A 22,373-nucleotide genomic window follows, 5' to 3' on the forward strand; every position below is an offset into this window, starting at 1 on the left:
AGACTATCATCTCTTTAAAGACTCCATCCTAGTCCAGTTACCTTTTCTACCCTCCATGGCATCTAACAGATGCTTCATTGAAAACAATTCACATTTCTAAGAGGCCGTTTGGATATTTATGTAAAAAAAAAGATAACCGAAAGAAAATGTTATCAAAGGCTTGCATGGCAGAAGTCCTCCAGGACTTGCTTAAATGTACAGACAAGTGTTCAGTTTTTAAAAAAACAAGCATGGTAACTGCATCCCGCTGAAGCGGTTGCCATGAAGATGCATTTCCTCCAGAGCAGGTGCGGGGCCCACGCAATTCTGCTGCACAGCTCATTTCTGCTCATTTCTGTTGTGAGCGTCCTCTCGTGGGCTGAACAGAGGTTTAGACTTATAAAGAAGATGCAGCTAAATTTAAAAGGATGAGGAGTCAGTTAATGGGAAAACACTCGTATTTCACTCCTTAGGAGCTCACCGATGCCTGGAAGTTAAACTGTGTGGTCTGAGACAGATTAAAGAGGAAGAAATAGTGTGTGTGACATCTTTTGCAGGGGAAACCTTCAGCTCTGCTCTCACCCTGCCCAGAGGACAGTCCTAAGAAATGAAGCTTCAGGCTTTGCGGCTCTGGTTCCGAGAGAGTCACAGGCTCCAGGCCACAGCACGCACATTTGGACACGGTAATATAACCCAACGCAGGGTGACAAAACCTTCGTGATGCCGTCCATGACCAGCTCATGGTGCACCTACCTGGCTTTTTTTTAGTAAACAAATATCTCAGTGTGGGATTCATTTAGGGATGACACGATGAGGTGACGTAGCCCACACACACGTCAGCAGTGCTGATGGAAAGGCTGATGAGGGGGCAGCGGGAGGAACCCCCCTGTGCCGCTATCAGATCGACGCCTGTGCTGCCTTGTAGCCCCATCCCAGGGCTGAGGAGCAGCTGCAGCAACCTCTGGGACTTTTCCACCAGCAGTATTGCCGCCCAGGAGGAAGGGGAAGCCTCAGAACACCAGCAGTATTGCTGCCCAGGAGGAAGGGGAAGCCTCAGAATGAGGACTTGCCACTCCACCAAAGTCGGGTCTGTGTTCTCCGGGAAGGACTCAGCCTGCTTGTGTGCAAGCAGACCCCGTGTGGCTTGGTGTGGCCATCCTGCCGCATAGGGGTTCCCACGGTGGGAATGCACTCACACACTGGACTTCCTCTCCACCCGGCCTTTGTGTGACCACCGTGGGTGCCTTTGTGATCAGGCATTGGACCCGCACAGGAAGTCACCTGGCACAGGCGTCACTGAGACTCCCTGTGGCCTCTGCCTGTGCTCACGTTCCCGGTTAAATATGCGCCTGGTCTCCTTGCGGGGAGCTGCTGCACTGGGCGGCCTTTCCTTTTCAAGATCAGGACCTGACATAAATGCATCAGATCCAGTTGTGAAGCAAGAGAGGAAGAGGAAGAGGAAGAGGGGAGGAGGAGTGGGGATGGGAGGAGCTGGCCGGAGGCTGGGAACCAATCACACACAGGAGCAGCAGAGCCTGCTGTTCTCAGCTGGAGCAGTAAGAATCAGTCAGAAAGGAAAGCCGGACCTGTCCTTTCTACTTGAGTCCCATTTTAAATTCCGCATGTGTGCGGCGAGAGACTGACCGACCATCTTTGCACTGTCCCAGGCAGAACCATGGACAAGCTTTGAGGTCATAGGTTTCAAACCCAAAATTTAGATAAGGCAACGTGAGAAACAGTTTCTTTCACCTTTAAAGGTTCGTGAATTTATGAATAGAAAAAAATCCAGCAAGACCAAACCTTTGAAATATAACAATGTCCTGGAAAGTCTCAGGCATGTGGTTAAAGTACTTATCAATCATGGAAATGAAAAATCAAGTTTTTCCTAAGAAATTAAGAATGAACACAACTCTCATGTTAATTCCTAAGAATTAACACAACTCTCATGCTTCCCTTTAATCAAGTAACGTGCCTTAAAATCAACCCATCTGTGACGTAGCAGCCTCTGAAGTCATTTCCCCCCGCTAACCTCCTGACTCTCCCTTCACTCCAGAGTCAGTGAGATCCACAGACGGTTCCCTCTCGCACCAGTCACTGTCCAGGGGGTGGAACAGGATGATGAGCAAGCTGAGTCTTCACCCACACTAGGGAGCTGCAGGGACTGGGGGACATTCTCATGCTTTTGGAGCCAGACCACTTAAGGTAACCAAGGACCCAGAGCAGACACCGTGGTCCCAGGCTGGACACATCTGACGAGAAAGGAGAGGCTGCCAGACACCGGGTCTGTCCTGGAGACTCAGGGCCCCTGCTGCTGGATGCTGGGTATGTCCTGGAGACTCAGGGCCCCCGCTGCTGGACGCCACGTCTGTCCTGGAGACTCAGGGCCCCCTGCTACTGGACACTGGGCCTGTCCTGGAGACTCAGGGGCCCCGCTGCTGGATGCTGGGTCTGTCCTGGATGCTCAGGGTCCCCGCTGTTGGACACTCGGTCTGTCCGGGACACTCAGGGCCCTGCCTCCCACATGCCGAGGGAACATTAAAACAGTTGTGAGTAGCTGGGGGCCGTGAACCAGCTCGGGCTGAGCGGATGCCATCTTTGGAGGATTTAAATGTTTTTAAAAATTAGGTGGTGTAGGACCATCCCCTCCACCGGGGCCAGGCCAGGGTCATCTCTGGATGCTCTGAGGTTTGGTTGCTGGTGGTGCTGATGGTGATGCCTGCAGTGGTCATCCTGGGCTGATCAAGGAAGCTGCCCAGAGACAGTGCATGGTGTGGAATCCAGGCCTGCCATCTTCCCACCCACCCCTGCCTGGACTAGTGCAGTAGCTGACACAGCAGACAGGCAGATACACAGGCAGGCAGACAGGCAGACAGGCAGGCAGACAGACAAGACAGGCAGATAGAGACAAGACAGGCAGGCAGACAGAGACAAGACACACAGGCAGACAGGCAGACAGCGAGACAGGCAGACAGACAGGCAGACAAACAGGCAGACAGGCAGACGAGCCACTGGTGCCGGGTGGTGGGCGGCCCTGCACGGTGACAGTCAGCTGTCAACTGTCATTCTCCTGCACCTCGGCCTTGTCACCGGTGGCTGGCAGGCAGTTGGAAGGAAACACCGTTAAATTCTTTGGGTCTTCCACAGTTCCAAGTTCAGGATTTTTTCTTAACCATAGTAAGAACTATGATCTACAGATGCCAAATAATAAAAAGCTGTATTTACATCAAGCCTATCAATTTGGAAATGAGAAAACATATCCCCCCAGCTGAGGCTTCATCACAGAATACTTTTAGAAAGCAGAAACTAGAAATTGAAAGTGCACCTTTTTCTTGGTAAAATGTTGATGTGCAATAAGAGTCAACACACATCCGATGCCAGTGGGACACCTGCTGACTTCAGCGAGCGCTTTGTGCTCTCTCTGGGGGCCAGGAGAGCTGTTTCGTGTCTGACTCTGTCCTGAAAGGCAGCCTGTTCATCAGACAGGAGAGGCAAGGCTGAACTTTGGAGTTGTCCTCTTGGCTGAGCCTCCCATACAGGGAGCCAGTTCCCACGGTGGCTGTCCCCATGCCTGGGCTCCCGTGGTGGCTCTCCCCATGCCTGGGTTCCCAAGGTGGCTGTCCCCGTGCCTGGGCTCCCGCGGTGGCTGTCCCCGTGCCTGGGCTCCCGCGGTGGCTGTCCCCGTGCCTGGGCTCCCGCGGTGGCTGTCCCCGTGCCTGGGCTCCCGCGGTGGCTGTCCCCGTGCCTGGGCTCCCGTGGTGGCTGTCCCTGTGCCTGGGCTCCAGGGCCCTGGCTTTCCATGTCACATCTGCAGACATCCACTCCGCACCTGATGGTGACAGACTATGCTGCCTACATTTCTGGTTTAGAAACAGCTGTTGTGTATCTCCTGGGCACAGCCAGTGTTTGGTGGTGACACACAGAAGCTCTCTCTGGAAGAAGAGCACATAATTCTGCAGCTCTTTCTAAAAATAGGAAAGGGGGGATGGCGGGTGGCCAACTCCCTTCGGTTGACTCGAGCCGCGTAGCACAGGGTGTGGTAGAAGGTGGCGCAGCAGGTGCAGGCAGTAGGGAGGTGGTCCGTGATGGAATATCGATGCCCGCGGCCCCTCCCCTGCCTCCCCGGCAGTCCTAATCTTACAGCTACAGTCCTGCCCGCAGGGGCTTCTCTGTGATCCAGCTACAGTCCTGCCTGCGGGGGCTTCTCTGCGACAGCTGCCCTGTGCACCAGGACATGACTGGGCTGGGGACGCACTGTGGGGCCACGTCCCCGGGAAGGTGCAGACCTTGCTTCCCCGTGGGGAAGTCTCGGCACCTGGAGAAAGCGTCACTTTATCTCCTGTCTCTGAGGACTTTGACTTTCACATATTCTGCGCCTTGAGACTCTGCACACGTGTATTTTTGTAAACAACACCTACTCTGGAAATGCCGAGGTCACTGCTGCCGGATCTCTCTTTTCTGTTTATAGAGACGTCTTCATGTCACTGTGCCTTCTTTATCTGTGAGGAGTGTGTATGCTGAAGAGACACCCTGGCACTACACATGTCTGGGTCTAGAATGGGCTTTGCCTCCCACCAGCTGTGTGGATCTGGGTGGGTCCTTATGGCTCTCTGGGCCACAGCTTCATCCTGGGTAGAATTGGGCTCACTCTGTATATCTCTATTTTAATTGTAGTAAAAGATACCTAACATATAATTTACCGTTTGTAAGTGCACAGTGCAGCGGCAGTAAGGGCCTTCCCACCGTTCTACAACCGTCACCGTCACCACGCTCTTCAGAGCATTCTCATCTTCCCAAATGGAAGCCCTGTCACCATCAAGCCCCTCTGCACTGTCCCCTCCCTGAGCCCCTGGCTACTACCCCCTAGATTCATACTAGGCTTCTATGAATCTGACGCCTCCGGGGACCCCATGAGGTGGAATGATGGGAGGCTCACGATGGCTTCATCGCAGGGTCAATGGCTCGGCCAAATGAGATCCCATATGGGAAGTGCCTGCCCAGGGCCTGGCATTGAAGAGCTCAGTAAATGGGACTTCCTTTCTTCCCCCAGCCCCCTTTCCTTATGCCCACTGGACTCGAATGTCCCCTCCAATGGGTGCGTGTCTTTCACTCAAGGTGGCCCCATTTGGCAGGTGGGAGGCGTCTTTGCAGATTAAAATACACTTTCTAGAGAAAGGCTTTCTAGAGAAAGGCTATCTGACAGGTACCCAAAGCCGCAGGGATCCAGGAGTGGACCATGGAGACCTGCCTCCTCCTCTCGTCTTCCTTCCTGATATTCAGCCTCCTCCCTAAGCGGCTTGTTGACAGCAACCAGAGCTCAACGCCTGGGGGTGTCAACGGATGGGTATGAGGTGTTAAGACTCCTTATTTAGAAGCATTGAACAAAACAGTAAAACCTCACAGCCAAACTCGTGTTCCTAATTTAAAATTTATTAGAATATTCTTAACCCTTCTTCAGATTTAAATTAGGATTTTAAAAAGAAAGTTTAGGATTTAAAAAGAAAATTAGGATTTTAAAAAGAAAGTTTTACGCACCACCAAGTCCAGACGCCAGCCGAGGCCAAGTTTCCTTGTGACGTCTGGGCTGACAGCGGCGGCGTGGATGAAGAGGGAGCTTGTGGGTGGTGCTCTATGCCGAGGACGGCTTTTTCTGCCTCCTGCAGTGATTTTCAAAACTCTCACCACCCCGGCTGTTTCCACCAAACTCTCTGGCTTCTTTTTCTGTTGTGTTTTGAATGTCAGCACCCTTTTTGAATTTATGATTGCAGAAGGAACATCATATTCCAGATATCATCCCAGAATGACCAGCAGAGAGGACGGTGGACATGTTTCTTCCTAAGATCTTGATATGACTTCAAATAATGTAGCACAAGATTGGCCCATACTTAAGTTTTCTTTCCATTCTTCCTTTAAAATTGTTCCACACTTTAAAAAAAAAGTTTATATGACAAAATGACACCCTCACCCCAAAATGGGTATTCTTTCCTTGAGGGATGTTTTATTTCTAGGCCAGTTTACTACTTACTAGTAACACTGATTTCTGAACTGTAACTCAGACTTCCACAGACCCCTCTGAGCTGGAGTAAGGACCAGGAATTCAGCCGAATGATTTGGAGAGCACTCACAGACAAGGAATTAATTTGGGGTACATCTTCCTTTAGGTAATGAATTTATTTTTAGGAATTTCTTGATGTAAGTCAAATTTTGGAAATCAAATTCTTGAAATGCATCCAGTGTCCATATAGAGCTGGTTCACTGCAGGAAAGCACCATGTGTGCAGTGAGTGGTGACCCTCCGTGGATTTTCGTGCACGTTCTGGGCTCTGCTCAGGGACGCAGCACGGACAGAGGTGCTGTGGGCCCTGCGGGACGGGGAGCTGATGGGGCCTCGCGGTGCCATGCTGGGGGAGAGGCTGGTGAGCATGGAGTGACCTCGATGCCCCATGCTCACCGAGGGGACTTCCCCTGAACCCGTCTTCCAGGCTCCCCCCTTCTGGACCCATGGGCCCCTGTACAGCATTTCTTGCTGAGGAACTTGGGGCCCTCCTGGCTCCTCTGCCTCCCAGCAGCCCAGTGACCTCCAAACGGACTCCTGACCCATCACCATGTCATGTGGGTGCCAATTAGCTGCTTGGAAAAGGTCTTTTTTCTTCTTAGCCATTGTACTGGGTAGAATCATGTACCCCCAAATCCATGTCCACCTGGAACCCATGAATGTGGTCTTATTTGGAAATAGGGTCTTTGCATATGTGGTCAAGTTAAGGTGAGGTCACACAGGCTAGGATGAGCTCTCAGTCCAATGACTGACATCCTTAGAAGAGGAGGGAAATTTGGACCCTGACATAAATCCACGGTGGGGAAAAGCTGTGTGACAGGGAGGCAGAGATGAGGGGGACACTTCGAATCCCCCAAGGAGTGCACGGGCCTGGGGCAGACACGGCCATCTTTCCCATCACGGCCTTTCTCACGCTCACACTTTCTTCCTGGAATTTGCTGATTACCGACAGAGAAGAAACACCTGTGGACCTGCCCCAAGGAGGAGCTTCAGATCAGCATCAACAGCCGGAGATAAAAGGAAGGTGCTTTGGGATGATCCATAACCTTCAGTCTGTGTCCCGATCCTTGGTCAGCATCTGAGAATGGTCCAGAATGGGGATGCAGGAGGAGACGGTCACTCCAACTCAGCCTGTTGACTTCGTCATCACCAACTTCGCATTTCAAATCCACCTTTGTCCTTAAAAATACACGTTACCGTGGGTTTGGAAAAGTTCTGCCTTCCGTGGGAGGTTTTAAAGACAGGTGTTCTTCCTCTGCCTGCGTTCTGCTAAGCCAGAGAGGGCAAAGAGAACCCTAACTTTGAATTTTTAAGAATGTCAATCTTGGGGCTTACTGGTAAGTATTCAATGAAGAACAACGCCTGAGAGATGCTGACATTCTAAAACACACGGTTTAGAGGCCTCCCAGGCAAATGTGACTGTGCTAGGAAGCAACTCTCCTCCATCCTGCTCTGTGTGGATTTATGGCATCGATGGTGGGCAGCTCCTGTGTTCTGCACAGAGGGATCCCCAGGTTGAAGGATGACGTGGAAGCAATGACGTCGTGGTCAGGGACGTCTGCAGGGAGCAAAATGAAGCGAGTTTCTTTAGTTCACAATTTCTCAGAGGCTCTGCTCGGCTGGCATGCTCGAGAACATCCTGGGAGGGCTGAGGCTACTGGCCATGAGCTCTTGTCTTAGAAAAGCTGTGACCAGGTTGAGGGACGCTGGGGTTTCCTGGAACCACCTGATACCTGCTGTCCGAGATGTGTCTCAAAATTATCTTGCATTTCACCTTGCTTTAAAATTTGTCTCTACTTATTTCATACAGAGATGCATCATTTCAATTTCAAGAATATATGCTCCTTGATTATCACTCTAAAATAGCCCATAAGATGTAAACACTGATCAAATGAATTGCCTCCAACAATTGCAACTATCCATAATAAACAGTAAGAAAAATGGTTCACGCCTTCTATTCACTAGCCACAGGAATCTGGGCACGCTATGAGCCTCTGAGTCTCACGGACCACAGAGACTACAGGTCAGCATGTGAGAGCTTCATGTAGGACCCAGCACCTGCTGAACGGAGGTTGGATGTGGGCATCATCGTGGTCGTTGAGTGTGGACACCGAGAGCCTTCACACAGGATGGAGGGTGGATGTGGCACCTGCTGAACGGAGGTTGGATGTGGGCATCATCGTGGTCGTTGAGTGTGGACGCCGAGAGGCTTCACACAGGACGGAGGGTGGATGTGGCACCTGCTGAACCAAGGGTGGATGTGGGCATCATCGTGGTCGTTGAGCATGGACGCCAAGAGCCTTCACACAGGACAGAGGGTGGATGTGGCACCTGCTGAACCGAGGGTGGATGTGGGCATCATCGTGGTCGTTGAGCATGGATGCCGAGAGGCTTCACACATGACGGAGGGTGGACGTGGCACCTACTGAACCGAGGGTGGATGTGGGCATCATTGTGGTCGTTGAGCGTGGATGCCGAGAGCCTTCACACAGGACGGAGGGTGGATGTGGCACCTGCTGAATGGAGGGTGGATGTGGGCATCATCGTGGTCGTTGAGTGTGGATGCCAAGAGGCTTCACGCAGGACGGAGGGTGGATGTGGCACCTGCTGAATGGAGGGTGGATGTGGGCATCATCGTGGTCATTGAGTGTGGATGCCGAGAGGCTTCACGCAGGACGGAGGGTGGATGTGGCACCTGCTGAATGGAGGGTGGATGTGGGCATCATCGTGGTCGTTGAGTGTGGATGCCGAGAGGCTTCACGCAGGATGGAGGGTGGATGTGGCACCTGCTGAACTGAGAGTGGATGTGGGCATCATCGTGGTCGTTGAGCATGGACACCGAGAGCCTTCACACAGGACGGAGGGTGGATGTGGCACCTACTGAACCGAGGGTGGATGTGGGCATCATCATGGTTGTTGCGCGTGGACACCGAGAGCCTTCACACAGGATGGTGGGTGGATGTGGCACCTGCTGAACAGAGGGTGGATGTGGGCATCATCGTGGTCATTGAGTGTGGATGCCCTCCAGACCCTGTGGCTTTGCTGGACAGAGAAGTCTTGCACAGGTGAGGAGATGAAGTTGATGTTGGGCTGTGGGGGCCCAAGGGCTCATAAAAATGAAAGAACACATATTTGGGGGCACCCCATGCCACACAAATAAGCACATTTTGGGTAATGGGTTGAGGTGGATGAAAACTCCAGTGGTATTAGGACTCCGTGGGTATTCTCTGCCCGCCCTCCAATTCTGAACACTCTGTCCTTTTCCCTGAGAAGCCGGGGTGAGCGTGCACAGCAGGGGGCATCCCTGGAAGGGCCCTGGGGCTCCATTCTAAGGGCAGCGCTGGGACGGATGGGTCCATGTTTCAGGAAGGCAGGTGTGTGCCATGCAAAGACCTTCCTACCACGAAACTCCTGAGACGATGGGCCCCAGGGTGCCATCTTCTCTGGGAAAGGCATGTTCTCACCGGGCTGGGCGACTCCCCAGCTGTGACAAGTAGGGAGCCCAAGTGCCCCCAAAACCATCCAAGTGCCACAGGTTCGCCGTGCCATGCCGGGATTACAAGCTTCAACAACGTCACACAGAGATGCAGTTTAGTTTTATTTATTTATTTTCAATAGTGTGAAGACACAGGCAGACACAAAGGGCAGGAGGTCATACCGATGTGTTTCAGATCCTGGCGTCATCCGAGCTGTCCTGGGTAAGTGATGCCATCTCTCCAATACCCATGTGCCTTGCCCATAAAATGGGATGATGGCACCTGAGGATTCAAATGCTCACCATGCAAGGGTGCTCGGAGGCCCTCGGAAACCCGGATCTGTTCCAGACTTTTCTGGAAAGCCCTGCAGAGACTGTTCTCAAGGGCAGAGAGAGGAGGCTCCCCTTCCTGTAATCGGAGTCACGCGAGGCTGACGGGAAAGCCAGGAAAGGGAAGTAAAGGGAATAGGAAGAGCCTGGGGCAGAAGTGAATTTACCAACTCCGGTGCACAGCGACATCAGGAAATGTCTCACCCCAGTGCTGCACAGGCGCCCGGGCTGTGGATCGCCAGGAGGCCCGGGCTTTGGATCACCAGGAGGCCCGGGCTGTGGATCGCCAGGAGGCTGCAGCCTGATCCCAGCGTCACTGCTGCGACAGGCACCTCCCTGCCTGGATTCTGCCGCATGGGTGACGCGTCGCTTCCCACCTTCGTCCCCAGCTCGACTCTCCTTAGGAGCTCCTCTCTGCCAGGCTCGGGGTTGGCTGGTGTGCCCGACACGCGGCCGGTGCCTGTGCTCCTGCGGTAACTCACGGCCACGTTCCAGGTTCCAGAACCCATTCCTATTCAGCTTTGTCACGTGGCTGGTGAGGGGAGACCCGGGGGCAGCTGGAGAAGGAAGACCCCACCTGCCCTCTGCATGTTGCTCTATTTGCTGATGTTTGACATTCACGTCAGCCCTCACGTCTGTGCCTTCATCTGTGTGACCTGGGCTTGCGTCGAGTAGAGAAGCACGGCCTGGCCTTCAGATGCCCTACAGGACTCCAGGAGAGGATGACAGAGGATGTACTTGGGTCCTGCTGTGACCGCCATCATAACAACGCCATGGACAACAGGCACATTTCAATAACATGGAATGACTTACTAACTTTATCCTCGCTGTTTTATAAAATGCAAATGTAAAGTGGCTTAAAAGTAATGATCTTGAAAGCATTAAATCTCTCAAAGGGAATTTTTTCATACTCAAGTTTTGGAAAACAAAAGATTGATAATAAAAAATATGAACAGACTGAAATTCTGATATAAGTAACATTTGATGAGCATTTGTAAGAAGTTTGATTGGCCTAATCAGATTCAAGACATGATTCGTGACCCAGTTATTGAGATCTTCTTTTCAGAAAGAGAGATTTTAATTTAAAAATGTTCACCTGCCAAAAGTCAGCCACGGTGGCGGGCAGCGGTCCCTGGGTGGCGATGTACGCGGGGTTCCTCGGGTCGTGATCCATCTGCAGAGACAAGACCACACCACAGCGGTTAGCCAGGAGATTAGGAAGCCTGGAGGTTAGGAAGCCTGGAGGTTAGGAAGCCAGAAGGTTAGGAAACCCGGAGGTTAGGAAGCCAGGACGTTAAGAAACCCGGAGGTTAGGAAACCTGGGGGTTAGGAAGCCAGGAGGTTAGGAAGCCTGGTGTTTAGGAAGCCCGGAGGTTAGGAAGCCAGAAGGTTAGGAAGCCAGGAGGTTAGGAAGCCTGGAGGTTAGGAAGCCAGGAGGTTAGGAAGCCTGGTGTTTAGGAAGCCCGGAGGTTAGGAAGCCAGGAGGTTAGGAAGCCTGGTGGTTAGGAAGCCCGGAAGTTAGGGAGCCCAGAGGTTAGGGAGCCTGGAGGTTAGGAAGCCAGGAAGCAGAGCCTGGGTTCAGGAAGAGGGAAAGGTGGCATCTCCTGAACTGAGCAACACACAACTTGCCCTTTGTTGATTCAAACGAGCACCCGGCACAGGTAGGGACCCAGCTGTCCCGAGCCTTGAGCCTGAACCACTGCGTCTGAAATGCTTTCCTTATACCTGAGGTTGAGGTTCTAAGAGCAGCATCAACAGAAATGAAGACCAGTAGCCCAAGGAGGGCAGGCAGCCGTTGTTAGCCCACTCAGCAGGTGCGACCCCATGACATGGATGAGCTTTCCAGCCTGCAAGTGACCCCAGAGCTTCCTGGCCACGGAGCCCACCCAGGCTGCCCTGTGTTCAGGAGAACGAGCCTCTTGCTAGAGCCACAGGGCTGGCTGGGGTGAGGCTGAGCTCCAAGCTCTCAATGGAGAGTGTGAACAGGGTTCCTCCAGGCCTCATGGACAAACTTGCCAGCGTCCTGGGAGAACGAACTAGCGCTACCTGCTGCTTCCCTGCTGGAGTTAACTCGTTGTGTGTGGGGGCTTGTTTTTGTGTATCCTGGAAAGGGGGCACAGGCACAGCCGGTCAGCCTGGGCCTGGGTCTGTGGCAGAGCCGGGGCGGAAGGGCCTTGCTGGGAGTGGCCTCCTGTTCTGTTTCCCCACCAGGCAGGGACCAGAAACAAAGAGGGCAGGTGTGGGCTCTCCGGCTCCCCAGTTTGTCCGAACGCATCTTGCTAGCTCCAATGGGAGAAGGTTGGCTTAGAAGACCATAATTATTACATTTATTTCGAAGATTAAGCACAGAAAAAAGAACTTGAGGACAAAGCCTTGAGAGGCAAGCGAGATTTGAGCACATTGCTGAGGGGCGTCAGATGGAGGTGGTTCTGTCTTCCAGAGGGCAAGCCCAGGCCACCCTGCAAAGGACACGAAGATACCAGGACATCACTATCATCCCCAGGGCTCACCAGCTCCTCCCCACACCTCCCAGAAGCATCTGCAGAGACCGACCCCCGGAGAGCCGGATGCTGCGCTGGGGGAACCTCACCTTGGGGAGGCAGCCGCTTGTGCATCTGACGCACAGTCCTTTCTTCTATTGTGTCTAGGACTAAAATGGACTCTTTTGCTATCAGGGTTTGATTCGAGATTTACAATGTTCAGATTTCAAGGTAATTATTAAGAAAACATTTCTCAACACAGTGAAAAATGAGCAAATTTTAACCCTATGCAATTTTAAGCCAACGCACGAGGACATCAGTGGTGGCCCCGGTGCTACCTTAAGTGCTGCTGCATTTGGGAAGCTGACGTGGGGCACGTTTTCTTTAACAGCGAGCCAGTGAGTCCCCGTGCAGCCGTCACCAGCCCCAGAGATGATGGCTGTCAGCACAAAAGAAGGCACCAAATGCACCTTATAATTATGTTCACCATAAAAGAGGGGCGAGCATAAAGGAACAGATGTAAGTTATTCTCACAGAACAACACGGTGACGCTAGCCGGGGGCTGGGGGGAAGCAGGGAGAAAAGCTTTTTGTGCATCTGATTTAGTGATTCGTAATTAAAACTGGACCTCGTTTTGAAATTCGCCACAACACACACAATACAGGTAAAATTATGTTACCGTCGCTGAAAGCCCCAATTAGAATGTTTCAGTAGAAAAATGCTTAGCAGAAATAAGTTTTGATTTTTTGAAATATGCATTTGTTGGGGGTGACAGCTATTTACAGAGACCCCTGTCTCTTCCTTGCAAATAGTAATGCATGAAAAGGAAAGCCCCGCCTCCTTCTGAAATGTGTGTGTGTGTGTTTTTTTTTTTGCCCAGAGCAATTTCTACAGCAACACATTTTAAAATTGTAAGCATGTTCAAACTAGCACATTTAGTTGCTTTCAAAATGAGAAATAGGTGATTGAAAGTAAAATGCTGGACAGGGTTGCAGGAGGGTCGATAAGGTGACTGTTGATTTAGGTCTGAGTTGTTAAGGTGTCCTAAAGTCCACACACCCATCACCTGCTCCAATGCCTAAGACAGGAGCAAATACAGTCAGGGTGCTGGGAGGGGGATGGCTGAACAGGAAGTGTGGGCTGTGCAGACTGAGTGGGGACCGGCCTCACCTCCCTCCCGCCCACCTGCCGTCCTGTGGGGGCCACTGGGAAGGCGGGAACAGCATGATGATCCGAGTGGTGACATGTGTCATCGGTTTCACAATAATTCAGGAGACAATTACATTCATTTAATTCCAGGCACATTCTGTTGAACAGAAAATTATTCTGGGCAGAAGGATTTTGTGGAAGCAGCAACTGCAAAGGCCACAGGCAGCCTCCTTGTGGTCTCACGCAGGCTTCGAGGAAAAGTCAAGCAAATACTTAACTGGCCACACAGAGATTTTACTACATTTAAGGTTTTCGGGCAGGATAAGTGGCTGTGGAGGAAATCAAGTGAGTTTCTACTAACATTGCTTTTTCCAATGAGGGCATCTGCGTGACAACCGGACATGGTGGGTGTGTGTCCCTCTGTCTTCCCCACCCAGCGATCACACGGCACCTACTCTGGCTTCCTCCGGTCTTCATTCTTACCCTTCGCCTCCTACTCATGACTTTCCATTTCATTGCAACATACTTTTTATTTGTATGACTGTTATGTTCCCGACACAAACTGCCCGGCTGTGGGAAAAGGCCTGTCATATCTCCAGGCCTCAGTCTCCGTATCTGTATGGTGGGTGAGCTCAGGGAGTGAGGAGCTTGGACGTCGGCGTCTCCGGGCCTCAGTCTCCATATCTGTATGGTGGGTGAGCTCAGGGAGTGAGGAGCTTGGACGTCGGCGTCTCCGGGCCTCAGTCTCCATATCTGTATGGTGGGTGAGCTCAGGGAGTGAGGAGCTTGGATGATGCGGTTTCTAAGTGTCCTTTAGCTCTGGATTCCAGTGCACGTGCATGTGCAGACTCGTCTGTGTGTATGTGTGTGTCCTGGTGTTGGTCATCCCGAAACTGTCCGTGAAAACCTGTAAATTTATTAGGTGAACGCCAAGCTGTCAGGCGGTCTGCGGCCCGTGAACACGCGTCCATGCTGTCCTCAGTGAACCACAGAAGGAAGGAAGGATGCTGCTTCCTCAAGCACAGAGCTGCTGTGTCCTCCAGTGGTGTGCGGGGCCAAGCATCTGAATGGCGAGGTGCGGTCATTTCTGAGCGCTTTCTCCCCAGACAGGGGCTTCTGCAGCAACACATCCCGCCTAGAGAGGCCGGTACCACAGAGAATCCAGTGTGACTCACTCCAAGTGACTTCATGAAAATCAACAGCCAGAAGGCAAGTACAATTAACAGTATAATTCTGTTTTTACTTTTTTTTTTTTTTGAGATGGAGCCTCACCCTGTCATCCATGCTGGAGTGCAGTGGTGCAATCTTGGCTCACTGCAACCTCTGCCTCCTGGGTTCAAGCGATTCTCCTGCCTCAGCCTCCAGAGTGGCTGGGATTACAGGCGTGTGCCACCACACCCAGCTACTTTTTGTATTTTTAGTAGAGATGGGGTTTCACCATATTGGCCAGGCTGGTCTCGAACTCCTGACCTCAGGCAATCTGCCTGCTTTGGCCTCCCAAAGTGCTGGGATTACAGGCATAAGCCACTGCGCCTGGCTTACTTTTTTAAAATAAAAATAAAGCCCATTTGTCTGTGTTGACTCTGTTATCCCTTGGTTGACTGATTCTTATGAAGATGTCATATGAACTAGGATGCTAGTGAGGTGTGTTCCTCTGTCTCTCTGAATACACAGTGTAAAGATGGCCTAGTGATGTGCCTTATGCTATCAGAGGATAATTACTAAACAAGTATCTTTAGAAACCCTAATCTGCATGAAAAACTTAGCCACAATTTCCCCAATATTCCAAACAAAGCTCATTTTAGAAATGAAGCACTCAGCATGTCAGGACCACTGGACTGTGTCCTGCAGTCCTCAACAGCCTCCATGGTGGCAGAGGCACCCACTGCGGGGCAGGTGAAGGGAACGCCAGTTTCTGCTCCCAAACCAGCCCCGGCCTCTGGCAGCTGTGACCTTAACATCTTAAGAGGATCTGGCCAGCTTTGGGGAAGGGCATGGGTGTCACGTCTTTACTCTGAAATCTTGCACAGAGAATAAGCACACACCTCATCTGTAGGTATTTCTACCTGCCCACCTCTCCACCTGCCCACCTCTCCACCTGCCCACCTCTCCACCTGCCCACCTCTCCACCTGCCCCTCTCCACCTGCCCACCTCTCCACCTGCCCACCTCTCCACCTGCCCACATCTCCACCTGCCTACCTCTCCACCTGCCCACCTCTCCACCTGCCCACCTCTCCACCTGCCCACCTCTCCACCTGCCCACCTCTCCACCTGCCCACCTCTCCACCTGCCTACCTCTCCACCTGCCCACATCTCCACCTGCCCCTCTCCACCTGCCCACCTCTCCACCTGCCCACCTCTCCACCTGCCCACATCTCCACCTGCCTACCTCTCCACCTGCCCACCTCTCCACCTGCCCACCTCTCCACCTGCCCACCTCTCCACCTGCCCACCTCTCCACCTGCCTACCTCTCCACCTGCCCACATCTCCACCTGCCCACATCTCCACCTGCCTTTCCTAACATTTAAAGCAAATTGCATGAAACGCTTTCTTGAAAACCACCATTTGACTTCTCAAGTCTCTTTTCCAAATACTAAGGCTTAATATGGGAATTTATTGGGAAATTGTAGCTTCAGTAATCAATGGGAGATTGACTTGTTTTTTTTGAGACAGGGTCTTGTTCTTTACCCCAGGCTGGAGTGTGGTGGCATGATCTCGGCTCACTGCAACCTCTCCCTCCTGGGTTCAAATGTTTCTTCTGCCTCAGCTGGGATTACAGGTATGCACCACCATGCCTGGCTAGTTTCTGTGTTTTTAGTAGAGATGGGGTTTCACCATATTGGCCAGGCTGGTCTTAAACTTCTGAACTCAAGTGATTCGCCTGCCTTGGCCTCCCAAAGTGCTGGGATTACAGGCATGAGCCACTGCACCCAGTCAGCAGATTGACTTTTGAACTTGAAATATTTTTATATCGTATTCTTAGGAGTTGAGATTTACTTAAGTAAAATACTGAATATAAACCATTATTATACACAGAATTTTGGTTGTAAATAACTGAAGTGATTCCCATATTTGGCCAATTTCTTATGCTAGTCAGAACATCCAACCTCTCTTCTTTTTCTGAAAAGCCACTCTGTCCCTACATAGTTAAATGCATTCTGAATTAAAACTTTAAATGATGTTTTTTTCTCCCTTAATAGACAGTGAAATGAAGAATTAAGCTAGTTTTTACACGTCACTGGGAGTTTCAGAGTTGTCCTGGTAATAAAGCTTGTGTGCTGTGTTTGAGTGGGCTGTTGCGTGAACACCATTCCTCAACTTGGTGTCCTCAGTAATAATCAGGCTGTTTTAAATGTAGCTCATGGGTTTCTCTCTCAGACAACCTACGAGGGAAAACAGAATTCCCATTGACTTTCATGACCTCTGATTTAAAAGCAAAGATTGCACATTATTTACCACTGGATGCCTTCCCTGAAATGTAATGAGGACTAAGTACAAATATGACAGATGTAATTATCATAGTTTTATCCTGCACAGCCAGGGCCTTCCTTTGCTGTAATTGTGAGCTTTTCATTCAGCTGCTGCTAGGAAGGTAATTATCATTGTACCTTCAGCTATTTCATAAAGAAGAGGCACCATCGATTTCTTCTGCTTCATTCTTACAACCCAAATTTGGAAAAAAAAAAGAATTGTGGTATGAAATAAAGGAAAGACACAAAATGTACCATAAAATTACTTCTCCCTCCTGGCCTTGCCTTCTCACCCAAGCTCCTGCCCAGTAAGGCCTGGAGAGGGAGTTGCATGAATGTGCAGGAATTCATCCCCCAAACACACACCCCCTCTGGTTCCCACATGGGATGAAAGCTGTCCACCGTTTCCAGCTCGACACAGTTGCTGCACTGGGCACTGCTGCCCACGCTGGGGCTTGGCTGTGGCCTGGAATAGCGCAGACATCTGCAAGTTGGAACCCATCGAGTGGGGGAGAGTGGGCCCAGCTGCAACGCTGAACTCTCGTCTTTTAGGCTTGTGAATCACGGCTTTATTCCTCATTCTGGCTTCATCAAATGGTTCATCTCAGGGAAAAGGGACCTCAACATGGCTTTTCTTTTCCTTCGGACGGTTTCGTGTTGCCAACTCTGCTGCACATAGTACAGGAACGGAATCCAGGCGCGCACACCTGGCTTTACCAGAACGCACGTTCTGTTCATCAAGTGAGAGGCTGGCACATCAGCGAGGCTTTGGTTTGATGTTTTTGAATTAGAATTGATGACAGAAAAATACTATGTGCATCACATCTTATTAAGGAAGATGAATGAGGATCTTTGAAACCCACACGGAACCAAGCTTGGGAGTCAACCTCTGCTGGAAGGAAGGAAGTGATTCCTTCTTAAGAATGAACACATAAACAGAAACCTGGGTTCAGGTGGTGTAGACCAAGTACACTAGGCCAGTTCTTCACTTTGAATTCAGTCTCTCAAAGCTGAACATGCTCACTGTGTGGGCCACGAATTGCGGGAAAACGGGACTGGCTCAGGCATGTGGACATCTTCCCAGCGTGCTTTATCCCACAGGTGTGCTGAGACCAGCAGAGCCGAGAGCTGAGCACCCTCCACCATCAGTGGCCGCTGAGACCAGCAGAGCCGAGAGCTGAGCACCGTCCGCCATCAGTGGCCGCTGAGACCAGCAGAGCCGAGAGCTGAGCACCGTCTGCCATCAGTGGCCGCCGAGACCAGCAGAGCCGAGAGCTGAGCACTGTCTGCCATCAGTGGCCACTGAGACCAGCAGAGCTGAGAGCTGAGCACCCTCCACCATCAGTGACCGCTGAGACCAGCAGAGCTGAGAGCTGAGCGCCATCTGCCATCAGTGGCCACTGAGACCAGCAGAGCTGAGAGCTGAGCACCGTCCGTCATCAGTGGCCGCTGAGACCAGCAGAGCCGAGAGCTGAGCACCCTCCACCATCAGTGGCTGCTGAGATCAGCAGAGCCGAGAGCTGAGCACTGTCCGCCATCAGTGGCCGTGGCCTGCAGGCAGTTGGGCCAATACTTTCATCCAAAGCTCCCTATGGACGAGCAAAGAAACTTTGGGACACCGTAGGGTGCGATTTGTGCCTCGATCACCTGCCCCGTCTCACTCAGCCCTAGAACAGCATTGCATCCTGCAGGCACCATGTTTGATTAAAGGCAAATTTGGAATTTTAGTGAGATGTCCTCATCCTTCCCTGAAGACCAGAATTGAGAAGAGCTGTTTAAAGGGGGAAACATGACAACCAGTGTCCGCCATAAATCTGCATGGAGCCCCAGCCTCTCCACCACTGGTTTAAAGTGCCATCCGCCAGGTCTCCAAAGCCCCGGCCCTGGACAGTGTCCCATCCCGCCCCCGCCACCTGCCACCATCACTGCTCATCTGAACACCCAGTCCGAGTGTCCCCAGCCTGTGGCTTCAGCCCTCTCCATGCTCATATCTCTCCCTCCTCTGCTCACTCTGGGAGGGCTGCAAACCTCCCCATTCAGCCCTGCTCCCCCGACAGGTCATGACAGGGAAGGGGGATGCCCAGAGTTAAATAGGGTGAGAGCCGCGTCTAGCATGGGCTGAGAGGAGCCCCTGGGAAGTGAGGGACCACAGGCCACAGGGACTCATAACTCACGGCACAGGAGCTGCCACCACACTCGTCCCCAGAAACACAGGACAGCCCGATCTCCACTGCACCTGCGTCTATCCCAGGGGGAGGAACAGCCAGCAAACGGTCTCTTTCATAAGAAACAGGGTCCCATTCACTGGAAATACTTCAGGAAAACGAACCTGAAATTCTGGACCTGCCTCCAAGCCACTGATTGTTACAAAAAGCGTAGACTGAGGCCTCATGTCCCCATGCCCCATGAATATACAGGGAATGTGTAGCTCCAGGAAAGAGGAACGGCACCCACTACGAACCTCTCCTAAAAGCCATGTCTTCTAGTCAGGAAACTGTCCAGTCACCATTGCTGGATGTTCTACAAGTCACGGAACCCACCGCCCAGCGTGAGCCGGGACCCACACGGCTCATAAACAGCCCCGCTGGTGAAGGAACAGGGGAGTGGCGGGAGCCCAATGGGCAGAGTCGGCCCTGTCCACCGCAGAGACGCTGAGCTGGGTGGGGACGTGATTTCCCCCGAGAACCTTCCCACGTGATTTGCCGCGTCCGTGCCACCCAAGGGAAAGCCTGGGGCCCCTGTCCCGGCAGTGCACTTACGATGGGGCTAGCGTTGATGTAGTCTGAGTGGCTGTGGCTGTTCTCCGCCTTCAGCAGGACCCGGGAGTGGTCATCTGCAAGGACACAGTGCAGGGGTCAGAGGAACATTGGCCCACCCAGCAGTGTGAGACCCCCACTTGGCCTCCAGGGCCCCCCACCCAGCAGCACAGGACCCCTGCCCAGCCTCCAGGGTCCATCACACAGCAGTGTGGGACTCCCAAACAGCCTCCAGGGCCTATAGCCCAGCAGTGTGGGACCCCTGCCCGGGCTCCAGGGCCCACCCGCATCCTCTCCCAGGACTCTGCTCACACCCTTCTGAATGTGGTTTCCAATGTTCCTGCTCCCATCCTCCCCTCCGTTTGTGATCCTCCAGGTGGGAGGCAGACGAACGGCATGTGGGGAACTGGCACAAAGCTCCCGCTCAGCAGAATGGAGATATCCTGGTGTTTTCCCCCACGTGGAGTTCACACACCAAGGTCAGGGGTTCCTCTGCAGAATTTTATACCATGCTGGCCTTTAAATCACAGACACACTTGGCAACACACAGCAGGTAAACAGAAATATGAACGTTAAGCAATCGCCCGCGTTTCAAAATAGAAAGTTTCATAGTCAATGAACAGTTAAGTCCTCAAGATTACTGGAATTTAGTTTTAAAAGGAGAGTAAGAGACAAATAAAATGCAGATAAAGAGGAAATGGAGGAAAAATGTACTGGTGGAGACTGGCATAAAAACTCGCTCGGACAGACAGAGTAACCTGACGGCTGCTGAAGCCGGGCGCAGCGGGGGGACAGTAGGCACTTGTGACGTGTGTGATATGAGAGCTGTCTTGGCTTTGGTTCTGGGATAACCCCCATCCTGCTTGCTGTGGCCGCCCTCCTCTTTGCTCTGTTTTTAGAAACTTCGACAAGCAGAGCTCACAGAGGAGTGGAAGCCGCAAGAGCCCCTCCTGCACCTCCCAACTCCCTGGTGTGTGGCCGCTTCCTTCTCTCTGCAAGGTGCGCTTTGTGTTACAGGATCTTTGGGGTGGTGTTTTTCTGGCCAGAAATCTCTGTGGCCGGTGGCGCCTTTGCCCAAGTTTTGCTCAGGCTGGGCCTGGCAGGCCACGTTTGGCTCACACTACCAGCCTGGGTCCCATGCCTGCCAAGGGCGAGTCAGGCATGGAGTGGCGAGGGGTGTGTGAGGAGCACGGGGTCTGGCCACACCAGTCAGGCACGCTGGGTGCTGCAGCAGGGTGGGCAGCTCCAGGTGCCAGCATGGGTGCGGGCTCTCTGTGAGGCTGCGGCCAGACCAGACACACTGCAAGCAGCTTCCATGGTTGACACTGAGGAACATGGTAGCTCCTGGAAGTTTGGAGATACCAGGAACCACAGGGTCCCAAAGATGGAGTCACAGGCCTAGCTCCGGGAGCTCCCAGGTCTGGGCTCCCTGAAGGGCTACAGCTGTTCTCTCCTTCTCTTCACCCACAGTGTGGCGAGCAGGGGGCATGTCTCAGCCCTGTTTGTGCTACAGCTCTTCTAGCCCCACCATTCGACAGGTCCTGAGTTCTTGTTCTGCGACCAGGAAGAATGAGGTATGGAGACAAGTGGAGGATGAGCAAGATGAAGAGGGGTTTATCGAGCAATAGAACAGCTCAGTCTCCCACAGGGGGCAGCTCCTTTCTGCAGCCAGGGGGTCCCGATGAGTGTTCAGCTCCTAGCAAAGGGGAGGCTCTGGAGTGGGTAGCTCCTCTCTGCAGCTGGTCATCCCCATGTCTGCCCAGCTCTGGCTATGCCTGGGGCATTTATGGGCCTCAGAGGGGAGGAAGTACATGCTGATTGGCCCACGAGTGGCCGTGGGCAGGCCTGGAAAAGGCACCATGAGTTCCCACTCTGATCCACAGGACTTGCAGCCCAGCCCCCAGCCTTCAAACCCTCCCTGGCCTGAAGGTGGTGCTTCATGGAGGACCTGCCCCCTTTTGCCCAGGAATCTCTGTCTCCTGCTGCCATTCATGGCACCCAGGCTGTTTGTGCCAAGGGGCACCTGCAGGCCAGAGCTGAGCTGCCCTCAGCCCTCCTTCGGCTTCCCTCCCATGCTTGTTGGTGCCCAAAGTCCAGAGGGGGCTGAGGTGGCAGGGGGCTGGTGTGTCAGCACTGCCCAGAGTGTCACACCTGCTGGGCTGTGACAGCGCCCGGGCTCAGCCCTGACTTTGCTCCAAGATCAGCATGGGTGCCAACAGCAGGGAGAATCCAGGTAGCAGGAACAGGCACTTCCTGCAGGGGCAAGGATCTTCTTCCTGGGTGCCTAAGTGTGCAGGGCTGCCTGGGTCTGCAGCTACGGTTTGGGCAGCTGTAGCTCCTCCCCAGCGTGGGGGTGGGGGTGGGGTCCTGCCTGCCGCGTGGAACAGGATGCCCAGGTTACGCCTCCCTGCTGCAGCTGGTGTGATGGTAGTGGCCACTCCAGAGGGCCTGTCACTGCCATCCCTGGCTGAAATCTGGAAGCAACAACATCTCGGCTCTGCTGCCGTTTGTCCCAGGGAAAACCTCTTGGTGCTGCACACAACACCAATTTCCATCTTTTCTGAGAAAACAAAAGCACCCTCGCTGGAGCCCTCGGAGGCCAGTGCTTGGTGGCCGTGGGTCCCCTCTGGACCTGTGGCCAAACTCCAAACTCGCTGCGCACCTCCTGTGGGCGCTGGCAC

General features: G+C 52.7%; 1 protein-coding gene across 10 annotated transcripts in view, besides 2 other annotated features; it reads right to left on the reverse strand.

The window, feature by feature from the left end:
- PTPRN2 (protein tyrosine phosphatase receptor type N2) overlaps window positions 1-22,373 on the reverse strand; it is a 1,048,768-nt gene that overhangs the window by 45,251 nt on the left and 981,144 nt on the right. For 8 of the 10 annotated variants that reach the window (XM_047420678.1, NM_130842.4, XM_047420679.1 and 5 more), the window contains 2 exons: window positions 19,696-19,769; window positions 10,932-11,009 (listed from right to left, as the gene is read on the reverse strand). In XM_047420678.1, coding sequence (XP_047276634.1) covers window positions 10,932-11,009; window positions 19,696-19,769 — 152 coding nt within the window. Of the gene's footprint in view, window positions 1-9,615; window positions 10,584-10,931; window positions 11,010-19,695; window positions 19,770-22,373 lie in introns of those variants that run through there. The other 2 variants (XM_011516446.2, XM_017012476.2) reach the window with 2 other exon arrangements.
- Window positions 10,095-11,294: an enhancer, noted in NCBI's record as "CDK7 strongly-dependent group 2 enhancer chr7:157387093-157388292 (GRCh37/hg19 assembly coordinates)". NCBI's record gives its function as "activates an origin of replication core promoter dependent on BRD2, BRD4, P300/CBP, MED14 and CDK7 cofactors, with strong dependence on CDK7, by STARR-seq in HCT116 cells {active_cell/tissue: HCT116}" and the evidence as "EXISTENCE:reporter gene assay evidence [ECO:0000049][PMID:35650434]".
- Window positions 11,364-11,864: an enhancer, noted in NCBI's record as "H3K4me1 hESC enhancer chr7:157388362-157388862 (GRCh37/hg19 assembly coordinates)". NCBI's record gives its function as "activates a minimal SCP1, AML or CMV promoter by ChIP-STARR-seq in primed H9 embryonic stem cells {active_cell/tissue: H9 hESC(primed)}" and the evidence as "EXISTENCE:reporter gene assay evidence [ECO:0000049][PMID:30033119]".

The sequence above is a fragment of the Homo sapiens genome, chromosome 7, assembly GCF_000001405.40.
Source record: "Homo sapiens chromosome 7, GRCh38.p14 Primary Assembly".
In the NCBI taxonomy this organism is placed as follows: Eukaryota; Metazoa; Chordata; class Mammalia; order Primates; family Hominidae; genus Homo; species Homo sapiens.